General features: G+C 45.8%; 1 protein-coding gene across 18 annotated transcripts in view, besides 2 other annotated features; it reads left to right on the top strand.

The window, feature by feature from the left end:
- Positions 1,652-2,511: a silencer, noted in NCBI's record as "silent region_20938". NCBI's record gives its function as "represses an Ori minimal core promoter by ATAC-STARR-seq in GM12878 lymphoblastoid cells {active_cell/tissue: GM12878}" and the evidence as "EXISTENCE:reporter gene assay evidence [ECO:0000049][PMID:35858748]".
- Positions 1,662-20,580, top strand: part of TMEM164 (transmembrane protein 164) — a 181,883-nt gene continuing 162,964 nt past the window's right edge. For 3 of the 18 annotated variants that reach the window (XM_047442565.1, NM_001410717.1, NM_032227.4), the window contains exons 1-2: positions 2,407-2,471; positions 2,794-3,457. In XM_047442565.1, the coding sequence (XP_047298521.1) occupies positions 3,068-3,457 (390 nt within the window). In that variant the 5' untranslated portion in view covers positions 2,407-2,471; positions 2,794-3,067. Of the gene's footprint in view, positions 1,746-1,955; positions 2,066-2,406; positions 2,472-2,793; positions 3,458-19,644; positions 19,957-20,580 lie in introns of those variants that run through there. The other 15 variants (XM_047442568.1, NM_017698.3, XM_011531055.3 and 12 more) reach the window with 11 other exon arrangements.
- Positions 2,614-3,269: an enhancer, noted in NCBI's record as "H3K4me1 hESC enhancer chrX:109246549-109247204 (GRCh37/hg19 assembly coordinates)". NCBI's record gives its function as "activates a minimal SCP1, AML or CMV promoter by ChIP-STARR-seq in primed H9 embryonic stem cells {active_cell/tissue: H9 hESC(primed)}" and the evidence as "EXISTENCE:reporter gene assay evidence [ECO:0000049][PMID:30033119]".

The following is a 20,580-nucleotide window of genomic DNA, read 5'->3' on the forward strand; positions in this document are numbered from 1 at the left end:
TGTTTATTAATTGGCACTTGTATTACTGGAAAGTGGTCTGGATGCAGACCCCAAGAGAGGGTTCTTGGACCTCTAGCAAGAATTCGGGGCAAGAAAGAATTTGGAGTAAAGTCAAAGCAAGTCTATTAAGAAAGTAAAGGAATAAAGAATGGCTACTCCATAGGCAGAGTAGCAGCTTGGGCTGCTCAACTGATAATTCTTATGGTTATTTCTTGATTATATGCTAAACAAGGGGTGGATTATTCATGAGTTTTCTGGGAAAGGGGTGGGCAATTCTCAGAACTGAGGGTTCCTCCCCCTTTCAGACCATATAGGGTAACTTCTGGACGCTGGTGGGAGTGACTTTTAGCATGCTAATGCGTTATAATTTGCATATAATGAGCAGTGGGGACGACCAGAGGTAACTGTCATCACCTTTTTGGTTTTAGTGGGGTTTGGCCGGCTTCTTTACTGCATCCTGTTTTATCAGCAAGGTCTTTGTGACCTATAATCTTGTGCCGACCTCCTATCTCATCCCGTGACTTGGAATGCCTAACTTTTTGGGAATGCAGCTCAGTAGGTCTCAGCGTCATTTTATCCAGGCCCTGTTCAAGATGGAGTCGCTCTGGTTCTAACGCCTCTGACACTTGGAGAACATCAGGCCTATGGTAGATGTTGTACAAAACTTGGAGTCAGACAAGGCTACCTGGCTGTACTTGTTCGGAAAACCAGACTTGGAAAAAACGGGAGGGCGATGGCCTGATAATACAGTAGATTGCATTTTATGTTTTGAGCCTGGCTTGCAGCCAACATCCAAAAGTGTTTCCTAGGCAAGGTGCCTAACTGTGTTTTTCTGGATATTCTTCTAACTCATCGTGAGTCTTCAATAAATATTAAATAAACATGAGGAAGGTCCTGAGAAGGTCCTTTTACTGACCCTTGTCTCAAGAAAAGCAAATAGCCGATCGGTAAAAAGCAGCAGGTAGGAAGAGGGGATTTTATTTCCGTCAGTTGCCCTTATCCAGGTTTTGGGCTTAGTGCTGCTCCTCCACACTCATATAGTCCTGGCTGGCTTTTCCACGCATAGGTTAGGAAGCAACTGCTCTGGGGAGGGGGAAGGGGGGAAGAGGGGGAGGGAAAGAGGTCACGGGAAGCCTCCCTTCCTCCCACTGGCCTACCATTGAAGGCCTGTCAGGAGAAAGGAGAGAAGTGGGAGAGGGAGAGGGTGTGGCAGGGGTGGTCTGTGTGGCAAGAGGTAGAGAGAAAATAGTGGATCAGAGCAGGAGGGGGAGGAGCAGGGAAATGAAGCTCCTGTCCTAGGCACTGAAGTGTGGAGTGGGGCTGTGGCTAGAAAGGGGAGAGAAGATGCCTTTCTGGCCTTGCATGAGTCGTGGCAGAAAGGAGGAATCGCGAAGAGGAGCCGGCCATACCCAGCACACACCCCGAAGCCAAGCTGCTCATTACTAGAAAGGCTTATTCCCCCACAAGAAGTTAGTGCGGGCCAGCTAAGTGCCTACTATGTGTGCAGTATAGAAAGAAGTGCCCTGGAGAACCAGGTCGCGGGAGGCGGAGCCAGTCAACAGGGCTTCACCGAGGGGGCGAATTCTGTACACGGTTGTGAAGGAGGGTGGCTGTGCACGCGTGCAGGCTCCGAGTGCAGAAGACGAGGCAGGCCAGGGAGGAGGCGGAAGGAGGCGGAGCCTGAGCCGGAGGAGGGAGGAGGAGGGAGGAGGAGGAGGGAGAGCCGAAGCCGCGGAGGGTGGGAGGTGTGAATGGTGGACGGGTGAGGGGAGTGCCAGAGGCAGAAAAGGGAAGGAGGCGAGGAGGAGTAGTCGTGGCCCGAGGGCGTGTGGTGGGGCGAGAGCTGAACTGGACGGGAGGAGGGAGGCAGTGGCGGTGGCAGCGGGGAGGGGGAGGAGAGAGGGAGGGGAAGAAGGAGGAAGCGAGCGCGGCTGCTGCAGGGGGAGGAAGACGGGGAGGAGGAGCCGTGCGCCGCGGCGGCGGCCGCCAGGGGAACCGAGCGCCCGGCGCGGAGAGCGCGGGAGCGGAGCAGTAGCCCGATCCGGGGCCGCGGGCCGAGCTGCCGGTGAGTGAAGCCCCGAGGGGCGCGGCGGCCGGTCCCCGGGGCTGGGCGGGAGGCGCGGGAGGTTGCGGCGCCGGGGAGGAGGGAGGGGGGCCGGCTTTAGTCCAGGGGCCGGCTTTAGTCCAGCCCCCGGCTGGCCCGGCCTCCCGCCTTCCCTCTGGCTTCCTCCCTCCGCTGCCTGCGCGAGGGGGGCAGGTCCCGGGCGGGCCGCGGGCTGGGGGTGGTGCTGCCCGGAGGGCGGGCGTCTAGGGCCGGAGGGTGGAGCTGGGGGTTCGGGGGTGTACCCGGGGGCGGGAGGCTGGACAAGGACGGCTCTAAATTGGCTGGAGGGGCCCGTCGGCGGCGAAGTTGCTAGCTGGGGGCAGAGACGGCCACGCGGTTGCAGGAGTAAGAGATCCCTCTGTGGCGAGTGCGTGAGACGAGGAGTCCGGCGTCCCTGCCATCCCCGTCGCCCTCCCCGCCTGCTCGGCCCCGCTAGCTCCTCTCCTTGCCTCCGCGTGTCCCCTAGCTCTGACCCCTTTTGGCTCCCGGTTCGCTGCCGCAGCACTGCCGGGTCTCCTTGGCCCCCGCCCTGACCCTTTCGGCCTCCGGCTTCCCCTGACCCCTGCTTGCTTCGCCACTGCCCCGTTCCCGTTTTCTTCCCTCGCTAGTTACCCCTCCCGCTTCCTAATTCCCGGTGCAATTGCCTCTTTGAGACCTCTTTTTTTTTTTTTTCCTCTCCTTCCTTTTAGATTGGCCAACGGCTCCTTTCAACCCTGCCTCGTTGGTGGCCACTGGAGAAGCGCGGGGGGCTCCCCCAGACAGCCGTGGGGACAAGTTAGAGCCAGCACTTTACCCCGGGCCTTGCGTGTAGCTTCCCCTCCCCTACTCTCGGTGCCCTGGTGTCTGGAGGGGGGTTGTGGGGGTGTGCCCGCCTTACATGGTCCACCACCCGGGCAACCCTCTGGGCTTGTGTTCCATCTCACTCTTGCTTCCTGTACTGTGGTCAAGGGGAACCACTGCATCATGTCCCGGTATAGCTACCAGAGTCTCCTGGACTGGCTCTATGGGGGCGTGGACCCCAGTTTTGCAGGCAATGGGGGCCCCGACTGTGCTGCCTTCCTCTCTTGGCAGCAGCGGCTGCTGGAAAGTGTGGTGGTCCTGACCCTGGCTCTGTTGGAGATCCTGGTGGCCCTGCGGCACATCCTGAGGCAGACGAAGGAGGACGGTAGGGGTAGCCCTGGCAGCCAGCCAGAGCAGGTGACCCAGCGGCCAGAGGAAGGCAAGGAGAGCCTGAGCAAGAATCTGCTCTTAGTAGCCCTGTGCCTGACCTTCGGGGTGGAGGTGGGCTTTAAGTTCGCCACCAAGACCGTCATCTACCTGCTCAACCCCTGTCACCTGGTCACCATGATGCATGTGAGTCTGTTGACTTTTTCCTGGGCATCCTAAGTGATAAGAGTCATTTATGTGCTCAGGACACTCCATAGTGTACAGCACCTCATCCCGGCGGGCAGGGGGACCTTTAAAAATGATTTTCCAACGAGTGGCTGCCTTTGTGCCGATTTCAGGTTTGGCTTTCTTTCACCTTTGCACAGTGCGTCAGCCCCACAGTGGAGGTGAGGAACCTTGTGCCTGAACCCTAGGAACGACTGGCACTCACCCTGGCTGCCCCTCCCTTCCAGCCCAGCCCAACCCTGCCGTGCCCTGGGCTTTCACAAGCAGGAATTCCAGCCCCAGCCAGGTGCCCTTTCTGAATCACATCAGTGGACCATGACCCAGCTCCCTTGCCTTCTGTGGTAGTTAATTTCCCAGGGGCCTGGTGACACTCTTTCCTGGAGGTGGTCGCATAAACTTTCTCATCTACACTGTGGTACTTTGGGGAAATACTTTTACAGGTTTCTCTTAATGACTCTTTCATTTGGGAGTGTATGCTCTTAGAGTGAGGTCTGCCTTTGCATTTTGAGGCATTGGAGCAGCACCAAGCTCCTACTAAATGAGTTCTGAAGCAGGTCCCCAGGCTGACATGTGTACTTTGGGCTGGTGATCACTATGGTGAGAGGGTATTTCTTTTTTTGCAAACCTCTCCATCCTATTACTGTCATTCTGTCTCCTATGGTCATAGTCCAAGGGTGCTTAGGAAGCTGATTTCTTTACCTCATCGACTTCCACCCATTAGCGGTGCTAAGGAAAACAAATGGGATTGAAAAGGCAAGTTGCCAGATACATAAAAATAATCTGGGTGAGGACCAAGAGTGAGACTGTCTGTATTCAGCCTGTGTGGAGAGATGTTCTAAAGCTATAAAATCATGGAGGAGGAGGAAGAGGAGACTGGGAGAGCAATCAGTCTTTTTTAGATTTCAGGCTGTGGAAAACCGGGTGTGTTTTATTCAGGGGCAGTTTTGAAACCTGTCATTAGCATCTTTACTGCCTTTATGTTTGTAGAAGGTTATTCTTTGGAGACTTGTGACAGCCTAGCTTGGGGCAGGAGGTTGAGATTATTATCTCCATTTTACAGGCCTGGAGGGGTTTAGGAATGGCAGGTCATTTGCTTGCAGCCAGAAGATGAATTAGTGCCTGGGTTAGAAAGCAAACTCATCCACCTTGAGGTTGCAAGCTGTCAACCCCAAAGTGAGGGTGGCAGTGGGTGGTGGGGCAGTCCTGTGGGAAGACTCAGGCAGATGAGCACCACACTGTCTACCCATGGCTTGGATACTTGCTTGCACTGTGTTCCTAGGAACTCATTTGATTGCAGGCTTCTGGATGTGGTGAATGACCCCAGCCCCTTCCCTTCTTGCAGATATGGTAAGAAGGTATGGATAACTTTGGAATAAAGTGGCTGTTTTTGATTGGGTGGCTGTAAGCATCGGGGCTGGAGTGGGCAGCATTTTTTAAGAGAGGGCTTCTTGGGAAGTGATGCCATTCACAGGAAGTCCAGGGCTGTCCCAGCTAGACCTTCTGTGTAAATTTGAGCCAGTCTTCTTTCTTTCTTTTTTTATGAATGGGCTTTTTGTTAATGATAGGAAACAACGCATCTCAGCCGATGCTGTGTGAGGCTGTCGGGACAGGAGTGCTTTTTTAGGATGGCAGGTGGTGAGGGTCAAAGGGTGCATCTTCTACAAAGTGGTCTTGAGGCCTCTGGCAATCACATATCTAGAAGGTCGACAAAGGACTAAATTCAGCCTGACTGGAGCTGCGGCTGATGTGATGACGTCAAGACTGGCAACACCATGGTTTTTAGAAGCAAGATTTTTAGAGGCTCTCAGAAGACTCTGGAGACCTAGTGCTAGCATTAATTCATTGTATGACTTTGGAGAAAGTACTCTTCCTGGGCCTCAGTTTGCCTACCTTGTGAAATGAGGCAGAGTTGCCCTCCTAGCTCTTGACAGTCTATGTGATTCTTGTCTCCATAAGTCGTAGATGGGTATGCAACAGAGAGCTATTCTGAAATGCTTTTGACCTCCTGTGTGGAAAAAAAGGAAGCTAGTTTCTTCTCTGTGGAAGTCAGGTGGCCAGTTCCCATTCATTGTTTTCTCCCTGTGTCTTCCCAGTAAAGTAAACTCAACTGGGCCATGCTTGGGAACTCATGCAGAGGATGATGGCACTTTAGGACTCTGAAGCCTTAGGATGGGGGCATGGAACAGAGCCATGCCGAGGAGTTCTTGAGCTCCATCAGAATTATGCTTCTTTGCCCTTTTCCCCTAAATCACTGCTTTGTATCATTTAAATAGTAACCCCTGGCATACCAGGAGACCTAGCCTCTGATTAATCCAACTTTCTATACCCTCCATATGGCTTTTCCTGGGAAGCAGGAATGTATGGATTTTTAAAAGTTGATGAGTCCTAAAAAAAAAAAAATTAACAGCAGATGGTTGGAAATAATTTTCTGTCTTGGTTGCAGCAATGACCAATGATAGTATGTATACCCAGAATACCATAATACCTTGCATTTATCTAACAATTACTGTTTATAAGATACTTTCATATACATTGTTACTTTTAGCTTAGGCCTGGAGAAAGGGATGTTAAAATGTTTCCTGCAACAGTGTATATTCCAAAGAGGAGATACTATGTACAAAGAAATGTTTGGCAAGTGAACTAGCTGAATTAGGCTATGTTGTAGTGGCAAATTCTGTGGAATTTAGAAGTCCTAGCAAGGAAAGAGAGATATTAGCTGAAGTGAAAGGGATAGCTTAGCAGAGACATGTCTGATATGTGTCTCTCAACAGGATGACTCAGTTTTGGCTTTATAAAAAGGCCTTCTTCCTCAGAGAGTCAGTGTAAGTTTGTAACAAGGGAGGTATTGCTTTAGGCCAGGAAATAGATAAGTTGGAGGGAAATTGGTTAGTCTCCGCATCTCTCATTTTTCAGTCTGCAACATATTCATTCCCAAGGCCTTGTTACACAGGCTCTCATCATAGCCATGCTGCCTTTGAGTGACTGCCAACTGTAGTAGCATAAGGAAGGGCAGTACTTGTGTCCAAGTTCTGTTATTGATTAATATTCGTCCTGTCAGATTTCATTTTGGCCTTGTCTGATTTCTCAAACGTGTCCTGGGACTGTAGACTGATACAGGCATGTATGGTTGACCTAGCACTGTCTCACAGCTAAGCCTCCAGCCAGAGATATTTGAGTGTTCTCAAGATCAGCAAGCACCAAGGTTACCACATGGTTGCTAAACCCCTTGCTAAATATCACTGGTGTCTATCAATTATACCAATAAGTATTTCTTCAAGCATGGCCAGTCCCTTTTTGCTTATGATTTTGGCAGGTATGGGTGACAGGGAGTGAATTTATGGAGTGACTGTACTGTTTACCAAAAATCACCCAGTAAGTTAGTGGCACAGGTGGCTTTAGAACTGAGCTGCCACAGTGGGAATCTGGCTTAGCAGGAAGAGATTCTCATAGCTATTTAAGTCTTAAAAATCTACAGTTTCTCAGCAGAAGGGTTAAAATGCTAGATAGTTTGACTGATTGTTGTAAAGACTGGTGGTCTTAATTTAGTGGCCCTTTACCCTCCTTGAGTCCAGTTATATTTGTCTTAGAAACTTAAGAAAAAGATCCCATTTGGGATGTCTTGTTTAATTGTCCAATTCCTGTTGGTTCTGTATGTGTCTGTGCCAACATCTCCTGATTAGGCACAGAACTTAGTGGGGTGAAGCATATGCAGTTTAACCCTCCATGTCTATGCGCATAAGGCAGGCTGTATCCAGGCTGGATATTTGGCAAAGAATAATTGGTGCTGTTGACCCCTTAGTCCCAAGCTGTTGGTTTTTAGTGAGTAACACTGAATCCCATCCTTTTTTAGAGTTGCTGTAGCTATTTGATTTTTTGTCTTCTTTACAATATATTAGAAATCTAACTTCAACCAAATATGGCTTACCCGCTTTTGGTTCACTGTTTGATTTTCTTACTTCCTCTCTCCTTGCTAAAAGTGTAGAATGACACACACTCAGAAAGTCCTGAGCTTTTTGTGAAACCCCTTGCAACTCACTGAATACACACTGTTGCATTCCGGTTGTTATGTGATGAATTTGTTTTAGAGAAGACCTGATGGATTTGAGAAACTTGGCTTTCTGTTTTCCCCCTTGACTTCACACCAGACACACCTCCTCATTCTCCATCTGTTGTCTGGAGCACTGATTATCATTCCTGCTTGGAATTGAAGTTGGTGGGTAATGGGTACAATAAGGGATCCAGCCATCTGCTGACAGCTTATCAGATGGACTGCGTCCTGTGTCATCAGTCCAGGGGGATACAAGGGGATGATGTTTATATGGGCCTCACTAGTGAGGCATGACATTCCTTTTTAGTTTGTTTCTCCCCCCAAGGAAATTTGCAGAGAATTTTTCCATCTTTCATTGTTACAGTCATTGGGGGTGTCCATATAAAGAGAGGTGCTGTGGATTGGTGAATTAAACAACCCACAGGCAGCCCCAGGATTTAAAATTATGATGCTAGTTTTGCTCATGGCTTGCTACAGGAACCTCAGCAAACTATTTAACCTTTTCCTATCTCAGTCTTCTCTGTGAAACGGGCCACATGGAAATGAAGCATTTGAATTCTCTGAATAATTATGTGGTCACTTAAACAGAGAAGCTGGGCAAAGCTGGTCAAAGATGGCAGATGACCAATACAGTTTCAACTTCAGACTCAGAAACCGACAAAGCTCAACTCCTTATACCTTTCTTGATAGCTTCTAGAAGGCATTCCTCTAATCATTTTTGTTACTTTTCTCTGGATCCTTGCCTGTGTCTGGATACCTTTCTGATGCATGGCATATAAAACTGGACACTAACTCTTACCAGAGGTCCAGCCTACACCAAGCAGAGAGGAAGTATTTTTTTCCCAGTCTTTTCATGCCTTGCACCTGTTAATACAACTCAGCTTGCTTTTAAATAACAGTATGTTGCTGGCCCCTACTCAGTGGATGATCCACAAGCTCACAGAATTTTTATTCCTTTGCCACAGATGGGCCACCTTCTTCTCAGTCTTTGTGAGACTTGTTTTTAGTTTCCTCCCCCTCTGTAAATACTCCCCTGAAGATTCTCCTCTACGAAACCTTTCCATAGGAGCCTGACCTGACTCCAGTAACACTTTTTGTCCTTTCCCAGCCGTCTGAATACATGTCAGAATGTTGGGCTCTTTAATGAATACCTTTGTATGCATGTAGGTAATCTGGTGTTTGGCCAGATCATTTTTTTTTGTTTGTTTGTTTTTTGTTTTTTGTTTTTGCATGTTTCTTTAATGTTTCTCCACCATTAGTGGGAACACTTTTTTAAAGTAAAGGAGTAGTGGATTTTTCCTTTGTAACTCCTTGCAGAGCTGAATATAATACTGTATATGCACATTAATTGTTTAATGTGTACCTGGATAATGGTGACTGAATGATTGATGGAACTGACTTTTTGCTTTCCTTTTTTCTTTCTCCACTGGTGGCCCTATGTTCCTATTAAGAGAATCTTCCAGCCAGGCATGGTGGCACACGCCTGTAATCCCAGACTTTGGGAGGCTGAGGCAGGCAGATCACGAGGTCAGGAGATTGAGACCATCTTGGCTAACACGGTGAAACCCTCTCTCTACTAAAAATACAAAAAATTAGCCAGGTGTGGTGGCACGCGCCTGTAGTCCCAGCTACTCGGGAGGCTGAGGCAGGAGAATCGCTTGAACCGAGGAGGCAGAGGTTGCAGTGAGCCGAGATCCCGCCACTGCACTCCAGCCTGGGTGACAGAGCAAGACTCTGTCTCAAAAAAAAAAAAAAAATCTTTCTGCCTGTTTTTTGAAATAGCCACAGGAGTGAGGCAATCTCAGCTCCTGCTCACACATCTTTTTGTAGAATTTCCATCACAAAGAATGGTTATTAGAATCTCTACTCTTGGCCCAAAGTGTCTGTTTGCTTTTCTCCCAATCAGGAAATCACACTGTTGGATCTTGATCTTAATCTCTTGGACATGCCAACTTTCTTGCTTCTTAATATCATATAAATAAAAAATGTTATTAAGCCAGAGACTTACTTTTCCTTTTTCTCCCCTCTTCTCTTTTTCAGTGGATACCTCATTGTTATGCCTCATTGAAATGAAGAGCTAGGTTTCTCTGCTTCTCCTGGTCTTTCATATATTTTGTTAAATTGAGAATGTCTTGTCTCACGTGCTCCTCTCCTGCCAGGAACTGGCTGAGTGAATGCGAAGAGACTCTGGATGTGGAAAGCGGTGATTGTCAAACTTTATTTGTAAAAGAGTCTCTTGGAAGCTTGTTATAATGCGGATACCTTGTTCTCTACATGGTGATTCTGAGCAGGTCTAGGGTGAGGATTGGAATCTGCATTTATACTCGCTCTTGGGTGATTCTAATGCTGGTCAGCCTTGGACCCCACTTTTAGAGACATTATCTAGTGGCTGAAGTAATTAGGTGGGAAGTTGGTTTCAGTGCCCATCCTAATTGAGCATGAGTCTGGGTGATCTGTGGGCAAGGCATTAAGTGTTCTGGCACCATCTCAATACCTGTTAAATAGTGTGATTCAGATTAGAGGATGAGGGCCCCAAGTTATTGTGAAGAGGGTTTTAAGGTAGCTGTAGAGTTCCACTGGCTTGTTTGGTGACTGTTAGTTATGTCAATGGAGTATTTCAACCAGGCCACCTTTATTACCTTCCAGTGATATATGGAATATATCCCTCCAGTCCTTCTATATCCCCCCGCTTTCCAGTCTCTAAGATCTGCAGGGACTAACAAGAGGGAATGTTGACACATGGTTTGTTGTATGCTAACTCTCTGTTTGCAGGACTGTTGTTTTAGATGTTCGTGGGAGTTTATTCTTTCTTGCGTTCACTCAACAGATATTTATCGAATGCCTATTGTGTGCCAAACATTGGTGCCAGGTATTGGAGATTCAAAGAGAAATAAGAAGCAGTCATTGTTGATGTACTTTCAAAAACAAAACCAAAAACAAAAAAAAAAGAAGAAGTAGCCTTTGCCTTCATTTTGTTCACAGTTTTGATGAGATGGACAAGGAAATAGATCAACTAAATTACAACATTACATGTATAGTAACAGATTTGAACAAAGCATAGGGGACAGGGGTCTTTTTTTTTCCTAATGCAATTAAGGAAAGCTTCCTAGAAGAGGTGGCATTTGAGCTGGCTCATGTTAGCTCCATGAAAGCAAGGACCCTTGGTTTTTGTTCTCTTAGTGCCTAGAACAGGGACTGGCTCTAGTAGGTGCTCAATAAATGTATTTGAATGCGTAGGAATTCATTGGGTGATGGAGGAAGGAAAGCAATTCTAGGCATAAGAAACAATAAGTGCAAAGGCTATGTGCTATCTCCCCATTTCTCCTATTTAATATCTATTCACTTACCCAGGGTTCAAGTAGACAGGAAGAGGATGGATGTGGAGAGCAGTGATTATCAAACTTTATTTGTGAAAGAATCCCTTGGAAGCTTGTTATAATGTAGATGTCTAGCTCTCTTCATAGCAATTCTGAGCAGGTCTAGGATGAGGATGGGAATCTGCATTTATAAGAAACTCCCAGATGATTCTAATGCCTGTGAGCCTTTGACCTCACTTTGAGAGATCCTACCATAAGTTCGCAGAGTTGCTTCCTCCTTCACAGAAAAGTGTCTCAACTGTAACCTGGAATTATTTGCTTATTATTATCAGGGGTAGATGTCTTACTTCTCCCTTGGCCAACTAAGTGAAACTCTAGGAATGCTCTGTCATTTCTAGGCTGTTGATAAACGACCTGCAGATGCCCTTGAATCCTCGATAGGGGATGAGATAGAAAATTGTGTTCTCTGTGCTGTCCCAAGGAGGGCCCACACTGTCAACAACAGAGGCACACAACATTGGGGTAAGTGAACAGACATTAAATGTGAGAAATAAGGAGATAGCAGGCATCCCACCTGCAACCAGTAGATGCTTTTTAGTGGCTTGTGGATGGTTGCTGCTCTAAAGTCCACAGCAGCACTAATGAAGTGTGGTGCCATCTTTCTACCTTTCTTTTTCATATCTCTTCTTCCCTGTTTCCAAGTCTGTCCACCTGATCCACCCCACACAAGTTCCAAAACAATCCTTTCTATAATTCAAAATGCCCATCTCATCAGAGGAGATGATAGCCATGGGGGATTAGGAAGAAAGCAGTTTTATTTCAGAGGTTCATACTGAAATGTGAGTGGACAGACTCCACTGGGCGTCAGGGAGAGGATGAGTTTTAAAAAAGGGCCTTGTTACCCTAACATTATATCTAATTGGTAGACTGTGTCTAGTGTTTTTAAGCAGATGTCCTTTCTCATGTGCCTTGCTCAGGTTTTGGCCTCTTCTCTCCCGCTAAAGCCCCTGATCAGGAGAACTGGAGTTATCCATGCCTTGCCACCCTACATGCTGACCCCCAGGGTTTCATATTAATGTAAATCTCCCTCCACAGTGCTTGGATGCAGCAGTTAATCTGAAGGCCTGGCGAGGACCCCTCTTCTGGGCACCAGTCAGTCCTCTGTGTTTACTCAGCTCTTTCCTGGCTACACAGGGCAGCGCTTGCACATCTGTCAGTTCATGGGCATCAAGGCACTTGGACCTGTTACCAGCATGAGATCCTGAAGGGAAGGGTTTGGGGGATCTCTTGATTGGTTTTGGTTCCCGTCTAGTAGCTGCTGGAGGAAATGGCAGAGGGAGGAAGGATAATATGAGTTTTATTCTGAGCTGGGTGGTGTTGAGGGAAGGGAATGGATTGCAGGAGCCAGGAGGTCAGACAGGATTGGCCTGTTTGGCGAAAACAGTGCAAGCTCTGCCCTGTGGCCATGTGTTTAGGTGGGTAGGAGAGGGAGGAGTGAGATCATCTGGAGGGGAAAGGAAGCATGGTACCATCCTAATTCTAGCCCAGTGCCTTCAGTCTCCTCATGTCCATCACATGCCAGTATTGGTATAAAGTCAGGGTGTATTTTGCCTGTGAATTGAATTGTCTTTGCCAATCGACCAGCTGTGTTTGCAGAAAGACTCTGACTGACTGTGTTCTGGCTGTTGCTAGCAAAGAGACATTTCATTCAGGTGCTGATTAAATAAGGTGCAGAGCCAGATTGCACATTAAGGCCCTTAACTATGGCTCTGGGAGTCCTGGGTAAACACTTATTAGATGTTCTGGGCAGAGCACAAAAAGGCTGGTAGTCAGGTGTTCTCTTCAGAAATCAGGTTGAAGGAAAATGGGGTAAAGAGAGACTTCTATAAAGAGTTTTGATCTTCTTTTCTTAACATTAATCAGATCTGAGTGGCTGGTGTGTACACATCAGGGCCAGATAAGTTTCCTCATTGGCATTTACTTGCCAAATTCTTGCTGGGACATTGTAGGCTTGGACTGGGATACAGCGGGGATCCTGACTTAAGTAGGGCAGTAGGAATGCTTCATTTTCCTAATGCAAGTTCAGCTTGGTGGATAGAGCCTTTGGACCATATTTCCTGGGTTTGGGTTTGAGCTCCATCACCATGTAACCTTAGGCATGTTACTTAGCTGCATCTGTAAAATGGGAATAATAATAGGGTTGTTGTGAGGGTTAAATAAAATAATTTAAATCAAGTATTTAGCAGAATTTCTGGCTTATTGTGTGCACTAAATAAATGTTAGCAGTTTTTAATAGTAATAGTATTACTTAACATTTCAAGATCATAGTGGTGTATTGGGTAAGAGTACAGGCTCTAGGGTGGTAAAAGCCTAGATTCAAATTCTACCACTAGCTCTGTAACCGTGGGCAAATTACTTAACCTCTCTGAGCCTGTGTTCCCACATTCATAAAATGATATGATCAAACTTGAACATTACCAGAGTTGTTGTGAGGATTAAGTGAGAAAAATGAGAAAATATTAATAAAGCATTTAAGATAGTATCTGGCACATAAGACACATTCAATACATTTAAATGATGATGATGATGATGACGATGATGTCGGCAACTAAGATGGTGAGGGTGATGATGACAGTCATCATCATTCTCACTATGGCTGCTGCTTCGAGCCTGGGTGCCTGTTGTTGCAATAAGATGGTAGGGATTTGATACAGGAAAGCTTTTCCAAGAAAATCTTCCCTGGCATCATAATTTCATGCAGTGGGCAAAGGTATTGGTTCCATGAAGTTAGCACCCATGTAATAATTTCTGCGGGACAGGGTTGTTTGGCTGTTTGAGGCTTAAGGACGTGTTTGTGGGTAATGTGAAGGTACTTTAAATTATCCAGTCCTTTCTGGGTGACTGGGTGATTCTGTTTAAAATGGCAACTCTTCTTACATCTCTAAGATTTAAAGAATTTAGAAGGTGGCTCTCATTGTTAGGAAGCTTAGCTTTCCGGGGACCTATTGGCTTAATTATTATTGCTCTTTATCAATGGGCTGGCTCCATGGTGCAAACTCTCTTGAGATTGGTAGTCTAGGAAACCAGTGAGTTTGTGACAGAAGTATGAAAGGAGTGAGCTTGGGGGAATGGGGTGGGCATAGACTGGTGAATGGGTTTTTTTTTTTGGTTGTTTCTTTTTTTTTTTTTTTTTTTTTTTACTTTTTCATTTATTTCTTTTGATTAAGGGGAGTGCAACTTTCTCCAGTGCCAACTATTACCAGAGCTGGGTAACTGTTGGAAGAGAAAGGGCCACCCCCAGAGCTCCTGGGTGAAAGGCAGGTTCAAGTGAACAAGTATCTTAGCTGAAGGAGAAGCACAGTATAGTGGAAACTGTGCTGCTTTCAGGAGAAGACTTCACTGTGCCTTGGCTTTTTGCATCAGCAAATGGACAGAAAAAAACCAATTATTCTTACATCTCCGGGATATGGTAATCCTCTCTCCTTAAGACCAGCTCTCCTCCTTTTCAAGACTTTGCTCTGGGGCCTCGTTTTCAAGACTGAGGTCTGGGGCCTAAGCCACCAATCACTAGAGAAGGATCCCCTTAAGAGCAGCCTTCTGGGGCCTAGACCTTGATCATGTGATTTCAGGCCTTGGGATGTGGGGGGTGTGCTGTATCCTGCCAAGGCCATTGGAAGGCCTCTGGGCATATTCCCAAGCATTGTGGGTAAGAAGGCTGTTTCTTAGTCTTGGAGGTGGGAGAATTGAGAAAGCTAAGGTCATGTTTTCTATAACCTGGTTCCTGGAAGAGGAGCTGGTTTAGAGGGCATTTCTAAACAAACAGCAACCCAAATAAACAGCAGCGCTTGGAAATTAGTTATGAAAGTTCACACATTCTAAGACCTAGGGAAGATTGTAACAAAGGGTCCTCTTCATATCAGCACTTGTTCATTGTTGGTTTGCATTTGTTAAGAGTTTCCTTTTTTAAGTTCCAGGAACTTGAGTGTGTGTGTGTGTGTGTGTGTGTGTGTGTGCGCGCCTGTCACTTTATTCTCTGCACCCTGCAGGAATGTTGCTCAGAGTCATGTGCACAAGTGCCTCATTATCAGCAGCGCTTTCACACTTGGTCCCTTGGGCTGCCACTGCTACTGGCTGCTGCTTCATGTGGGTATTTCTACCTATTTCCTGGAGCCCCAGCCCCACAGGGAATGTTGGCACCCTGAGGAAAGGGACCGCCTCTACATTTGGATCTCCCTTCTGCTGCAGGGCAGCTGACTTTACTCTGCTTTCAAGTTCACCTTTCCTCAGAATAGCCCTGCAAGCTAGCACCAAGCCAAGGTTATGTTTCCTTGCTTGCATGTGGGGTTTCTGGCCAGTCAGCCAAGTGAACTGATTGACCCCCAGCCCTGTGGGGAATTTCAGGGGGGTATTGTCTTGGTCATCGGAGTCAGGGGTGGCCTTTAGGCCAAGGCTGCATTAGCTTTGTGGAGAAGAATGTGAAGCCCGCCGTGTCACAGGGTCTGCTGACCGGCTGGGTAGTGTTTGGCCATATCTCACAGCCAGTGCTGTGTTTGCTCAGATGGACGCACATGGAAACCAGGCTAGGATCATCTTCCCAAATGTCTTACTCCCTGCTTTGGGTCTGTCCTGAAAAACAATTTGCAAAGTACATTGTGGTCTGCACCTGTTGTTTTTTCATCCCCCTTTTCCACAGTCAGTTTGCAGTGAATGGAGGATTAATCCTGGCTCTTGCCACTTGTATTTTCTCTTTCCCTTCTTTCCTTGACGTTGGGTTCTTGCTTTTCAGTTATAACTGTCTGTGGACATTAAGGACAGCTGGTGCCCCTGATCATTTAGGACCTCCCTTAGGCCTTTAAAACGCTGGAAATGTGTAACAGGGCCGGATGGGCAAAAAAGAGTCGAATTTAGGAGAAAACTCACTATAATTTCTGGTTATCTTTGTACACTCTCAGAAAAGTGAGGAGTGGTAGTAATAACACTTGTAACATTTTTGAATACACGTTAATTATGCTTTAGGCATGGTGCTTAGTCTACTGCCTGTGTATTACCTCATTTGCAGCCTTCCAGAAAGGTTGTTTTTTGTTTCATGTAATTTTTTGTTTTTTTGAAACAACGTCTTGCTCTGTTGCTCAGGCTGGAGTGTAGTGGTATGAATATGGCTCACTGCAGCCTTGACCCCTTGGGCTCAAGCGATCCTCTTGACTCAGCCTCCCAAGTAGCTGGAACCACAGGCACGCATCACCACGCCCAGCTAATGTTTTTGTTTTTTGTAGAGATGGGGTCTTGCCATGTTGCTTAGGCTGGTCTTGAATTCCTGGGCTCAAGCGATTCTTCTGCATCAGCCTCCCAAAGTGCTGGGATTATAGGAGTGAGCCACCACACCTGGCCTGTTTTATCTAATTCTTCTTTTCTTTGCTTCTAGCTGATTTCCCCTTTGGTAGACTATAGGCACTGGATGTTCTAGCTGTACTTTCTCAGGTTGTTAAAATGGCAGAGTGATACCAAATCAGAGCTGAAAGAAACCTCTGAGAACAACTAATTTGTTTCTTTTTCATCCCTTGTTTTCCAGATGAGCAAACTGAGACCCAGAGAGGTGAAGTGATTTGCCCAAAGTCACACAGCTAAATAGAAGCAGAGCTGAGTCTCCTGACTCCCATTTCAATATCTCTCTATAATACCACACATGGCCTCCTTCTATCCTTAACCTTCCAGCATGAAAGGAACTAGACTTTTCTTCTTGCTCACTATTAGAGAAATGGAAATCTTGTGCTTTTTGAGCATCATTGTTTATTGCCTTCTTGAAAGTGAGGATCTCCTGGCTGCAGGCCACCTCCTTCCTTTCTTTCTTTCTTTCTTTCTTTCTTTCTTTCTTTCTTTCTCTCTCTCTCTCTCTCTTTCTTTCCTTCCCTCCCTCCCTCCCTCCCTCCCTCCCTCCCTCCCTCCCTCCTTCCTTCCTTCCTTCCTTCCTTCCTTCCTTCCTTCCTTCCTTCCTTTCTTTCTTTCATTTTTTTTTTTTTTGAGACGGAGTTTCACTCTTGTTGCCCAGGCTGGAGTACAATGGCATGATCTTGGCTCACCGCAATCTCCGCCTCCTGGGTTCAAGCGATTCTCCTGCCTCAGCCTCCCGAGTAGCTGGGATTACAGGCATGCCCCACCATGCCCGGCTAATTTTGTATTTTTAGTAGAGATGGGGTTTTTCAATGTTGGTCAGGCTGGTCTCGAACTCCTGACCTCAGGTGATCTGTCTGCCTCCACCTCCCAAAGTGCTGGGATTACAGGCGTGAGCCACTGCGCCCGGCCTGCAGGCCACCTCTTTACCTGGCTGGTATAGCAACTGTTTTTTTCAATTTACTTTCCTGCCCTTGCTTCCTGTCTTCCACAGAGGAGTCTGGCCCTGGTGTCACCATTACTTGCTGTTTGCCCTGGACAGACAGTTCACAGGGATGTGTGTGCTCACTGAGCCTGCATGTAGAGCCAGTATGGGTTGCTTGCAGATGTTGGTTGTTTGGAAATGGGACCCACTCAGCTGCGGATATAACTGAGGCCATCATTTCCTGCCTCCAAATAGAGGCCTGCATCTAATCCTAGTAAACAGTTGTATGGGGCTCCAGGGCAAGGGATCAAAATTAGAACCTTAGTCTAGCAGAGGTGACAAAGGCCAAAGAAGAAAAACGTCAGAATAATCTGTCAGCCCAGTAGTAGAGGTTAGTTCATCTTGGTTGAGTAGTAGAAACAGCACTGGATTAAGGGTTAGCCAGACCTGGGTCCTGGTTGTAGGTTCATCACTAGCTGGTTGACAAAACTGAGTAATTTTGGCCATTCAGGTAGCCTCTCTGTGCCTCAGTCTTCTTATATAATAAGAAATAGAGTGTGGTAGTTAAAAGTGCAGGCTCTGGAGCCAGACTAGTCAGGTTCAAATCCCAGTTCTGCTGCTTTCTAGCTGTGCAACTCTGGGAAAGTTAATTGACATATCTAGGCATGGTTTTTGATTTGTTTTGTTTTATTTTGTTTGAGGTCTTCCAAGTTCATTATTTTTCTTGTTTATTGCTAGACCAGTATACCTAAAGCCTCTGGGTCTGTTTTCTTATCTGCAAAATGGGGATTAATAGTAGTATCTACTTTATGGGGTTCTTGTAAGAATTAAATGCATGACTACATGTGAAGTGTTTAGAATAGTGGTGCATGGCAAGTGTTTAATAAATATGAGTATGGCTGTTATCATCTGTAAGACAGAGATGATCTTTGCCCTTCTTACCTTATAGGGTAAATATGAGAATCAAGTCAAATAAGGTATGTGAATGTGCTGTGAATATATGAATGTGCTGTGAATATAAGAAAGTGCTATCAAAATGAGAACAATCATCATGTCTTGAGAGCAGGAACATTTAAACATTCCCTAGGCCACCTGTTTCTAGAATCAGATATTGATGTTATTTCCTTGGTAGCCTGGCAAAAGGGAGAAAGGTAGGTTTGTATGTAGGGTTATATAAATGCTGGGGCCATCAAGCAATGTAGATCCTGCTTTTTTCTTCCCAGTGTACTCAAGAGGGCTTGAAAGCCATGCATCCTAAGTAAAGTGGTTGGGGGATTTGGAATGAAACAGTATCATCTGCCATGATACTGTTCCTTCAGTACTCTTATCTTATTTAACAGCATCACAATCCATCCAGTGACCCAGGTTAAATCCCTAGAAACCTTGATACATCTCAATTCCACCCTCTTCCTCCTTTTCATCATCATAGTCTCAGTCATCTTGATTCTGCCTTTCATGATCTCTTCCATTTCTCTTCCTTTTCTTCTTTGATTCCCCTGCCCTGGTTCATGTTGTTGTTTATCACTGTCATCATCATCACCTGTCTTGTTAGAGCAGCCTTGTGATTGATCTTCTCTCCTCTATCCTTTACACTACTCTATCCTTTACTCTATCTACTACTCGACCCTTTACACTACTGCCAGAATGATACAAGTAAAATACATGTTGGATCATGCCATTCCCTTCCTCCAAAACCTTTGATAACTCCTTAATGCCTTCATCAGGGATGGTAAACACATAGATGCATACACTTTATATTGTCCCTGGCCGACTGTGCTAATCAATCATAGGCACGCTTTCCCAGGGAGAGTCCAAGTAGATTTAAAATCTGTTTAGCATAGCATTCTAGGTAGCCACTTATCAATCAGTCAGAGCTGGTATTAATATATAGACTAGGGATGGCACATAGATAAAGCCTGTAGAGAAATCTTAATCTCCTTATGATAGGATTCGGTATCTTCTGTGATTTTGGTCCCAACCTTTTTTTTCAGCCTTGTTATTTAGTATATTCTTCCATGTGTTCTCTGATCCAGCCACCAGCACCATGCACTTCCATTCTTCTCTGAGTTTATACTTTGTTTATGCTGCACTGTTAGACAGAAATATTCTTTCTTTTCTCTTCCTGTTGAAATGCTAGTTATCATTCAAGGCTCAGCCCAAACACTCCCTCTTGTGAAGCTGTCTTCAAGCCTCTAAGCCGGATTTAGCCTCTCTTGTCTATTTTAGCATGTTATTCTGCCTTGTATTATGTAATTGTTTGTGTATCTTCCCTACTCCTTAGATTGTATGTTCCCAAATGTAAGGTCTATGTTTTTATTAATTTTTGTATCCCCCGCACAGCTTCTGGTACATTCTAGATTCCTAATTTTTTAAAAATTAAGTCTAGTCCAATCCCTTTGTTTTCCAGATGAGGAAACTGTGGCTTAGAGGAAAAGGTCATTAGTTCATTTTGGGATTTGTTGATTTTCAGATGTTTGAGATGTTGAGGATGGATTGTCCAGCAGGCTATTAAGATGTGGTGAAGGCTAGAAATGTTGATTTAGGAGGTATTGCCTTCGAGAAGATAAAGGAGGAGAAGAGGAGAGCATCATGCAAGCTAGAGAAGAGAAAGAAGAAAAGTATTCTGGGGAATGTCTCCTTTGGGAGCAGAAAGAAGACTCTGACGGAGCAGCCATCCAGGAAGTGGAATGAGATCCAGGAGAGGAAGGAGTTTCAGAAGGCAGGAGCTGGTCCTCTATGTCATGAAATGTAGAGGGTGAGGCCAAGGAGGACCTGAGAGAAGGTAATTAGATTTGGTGTTTACAGGCTGGTCCCTGTGGCCAGCCACCCCACCCACTTTAAAATATTTACTCTACAAATGTTAATGTGTGAAGAGTTGCATGCCAGAATATTTATGGCATCAGTGTTGGTGGATACAGAACATTGGGAAACAACCCATTAATAGCAGAATGGTAAATCTGGCCAGTGAATAGTATAGCTTTTTAAAAGGAGGCTGATGTCTGAATTCACTTTCAAAGTTGTTCACAATGTATTGCTAAAATACAAAAATGTTGCAGAACCATATGTATGAGAGAAACCCCTTTTTCTAAAAAAAAAAAAAAAAAAAAAAAAAAAGCCCAAGCAGCCTCTTTATATGTGCATGTTTATGAGCACATTTTAAAAATCTGGAAGAATGTATACTAAATAGCACTTACTCCTGAGTGATTAGGGAAAGAGGGGAATTCTCATTTTTTAATGACCACATTTCTGTATTATTTGAATTTGGTTTAAGTGTAGATTCCTTTAGTAATTAAGAGAAATACTTATTTAAATAAAGAAAGGATGATTGGCAGCCTGTGAGAATAGCTTTACTAAAAAAGATTCAATGGACAAAGGAAGCCAACTCACGAGAGAACATTTGGCAACT

This window comes from Homo sapiens, chromosome X (genome assembly GCF_000001405.40).
Source record: "Homo sapiens chromosome X, GRCh38.p14 Primary Assembly".
Taxonomy (NCBI): domain Eukaryota; kingdom Metazoa; phylum Chordata; class Mammalia; order Primates; family Hominidae; genus Homo; species Homo sapiens.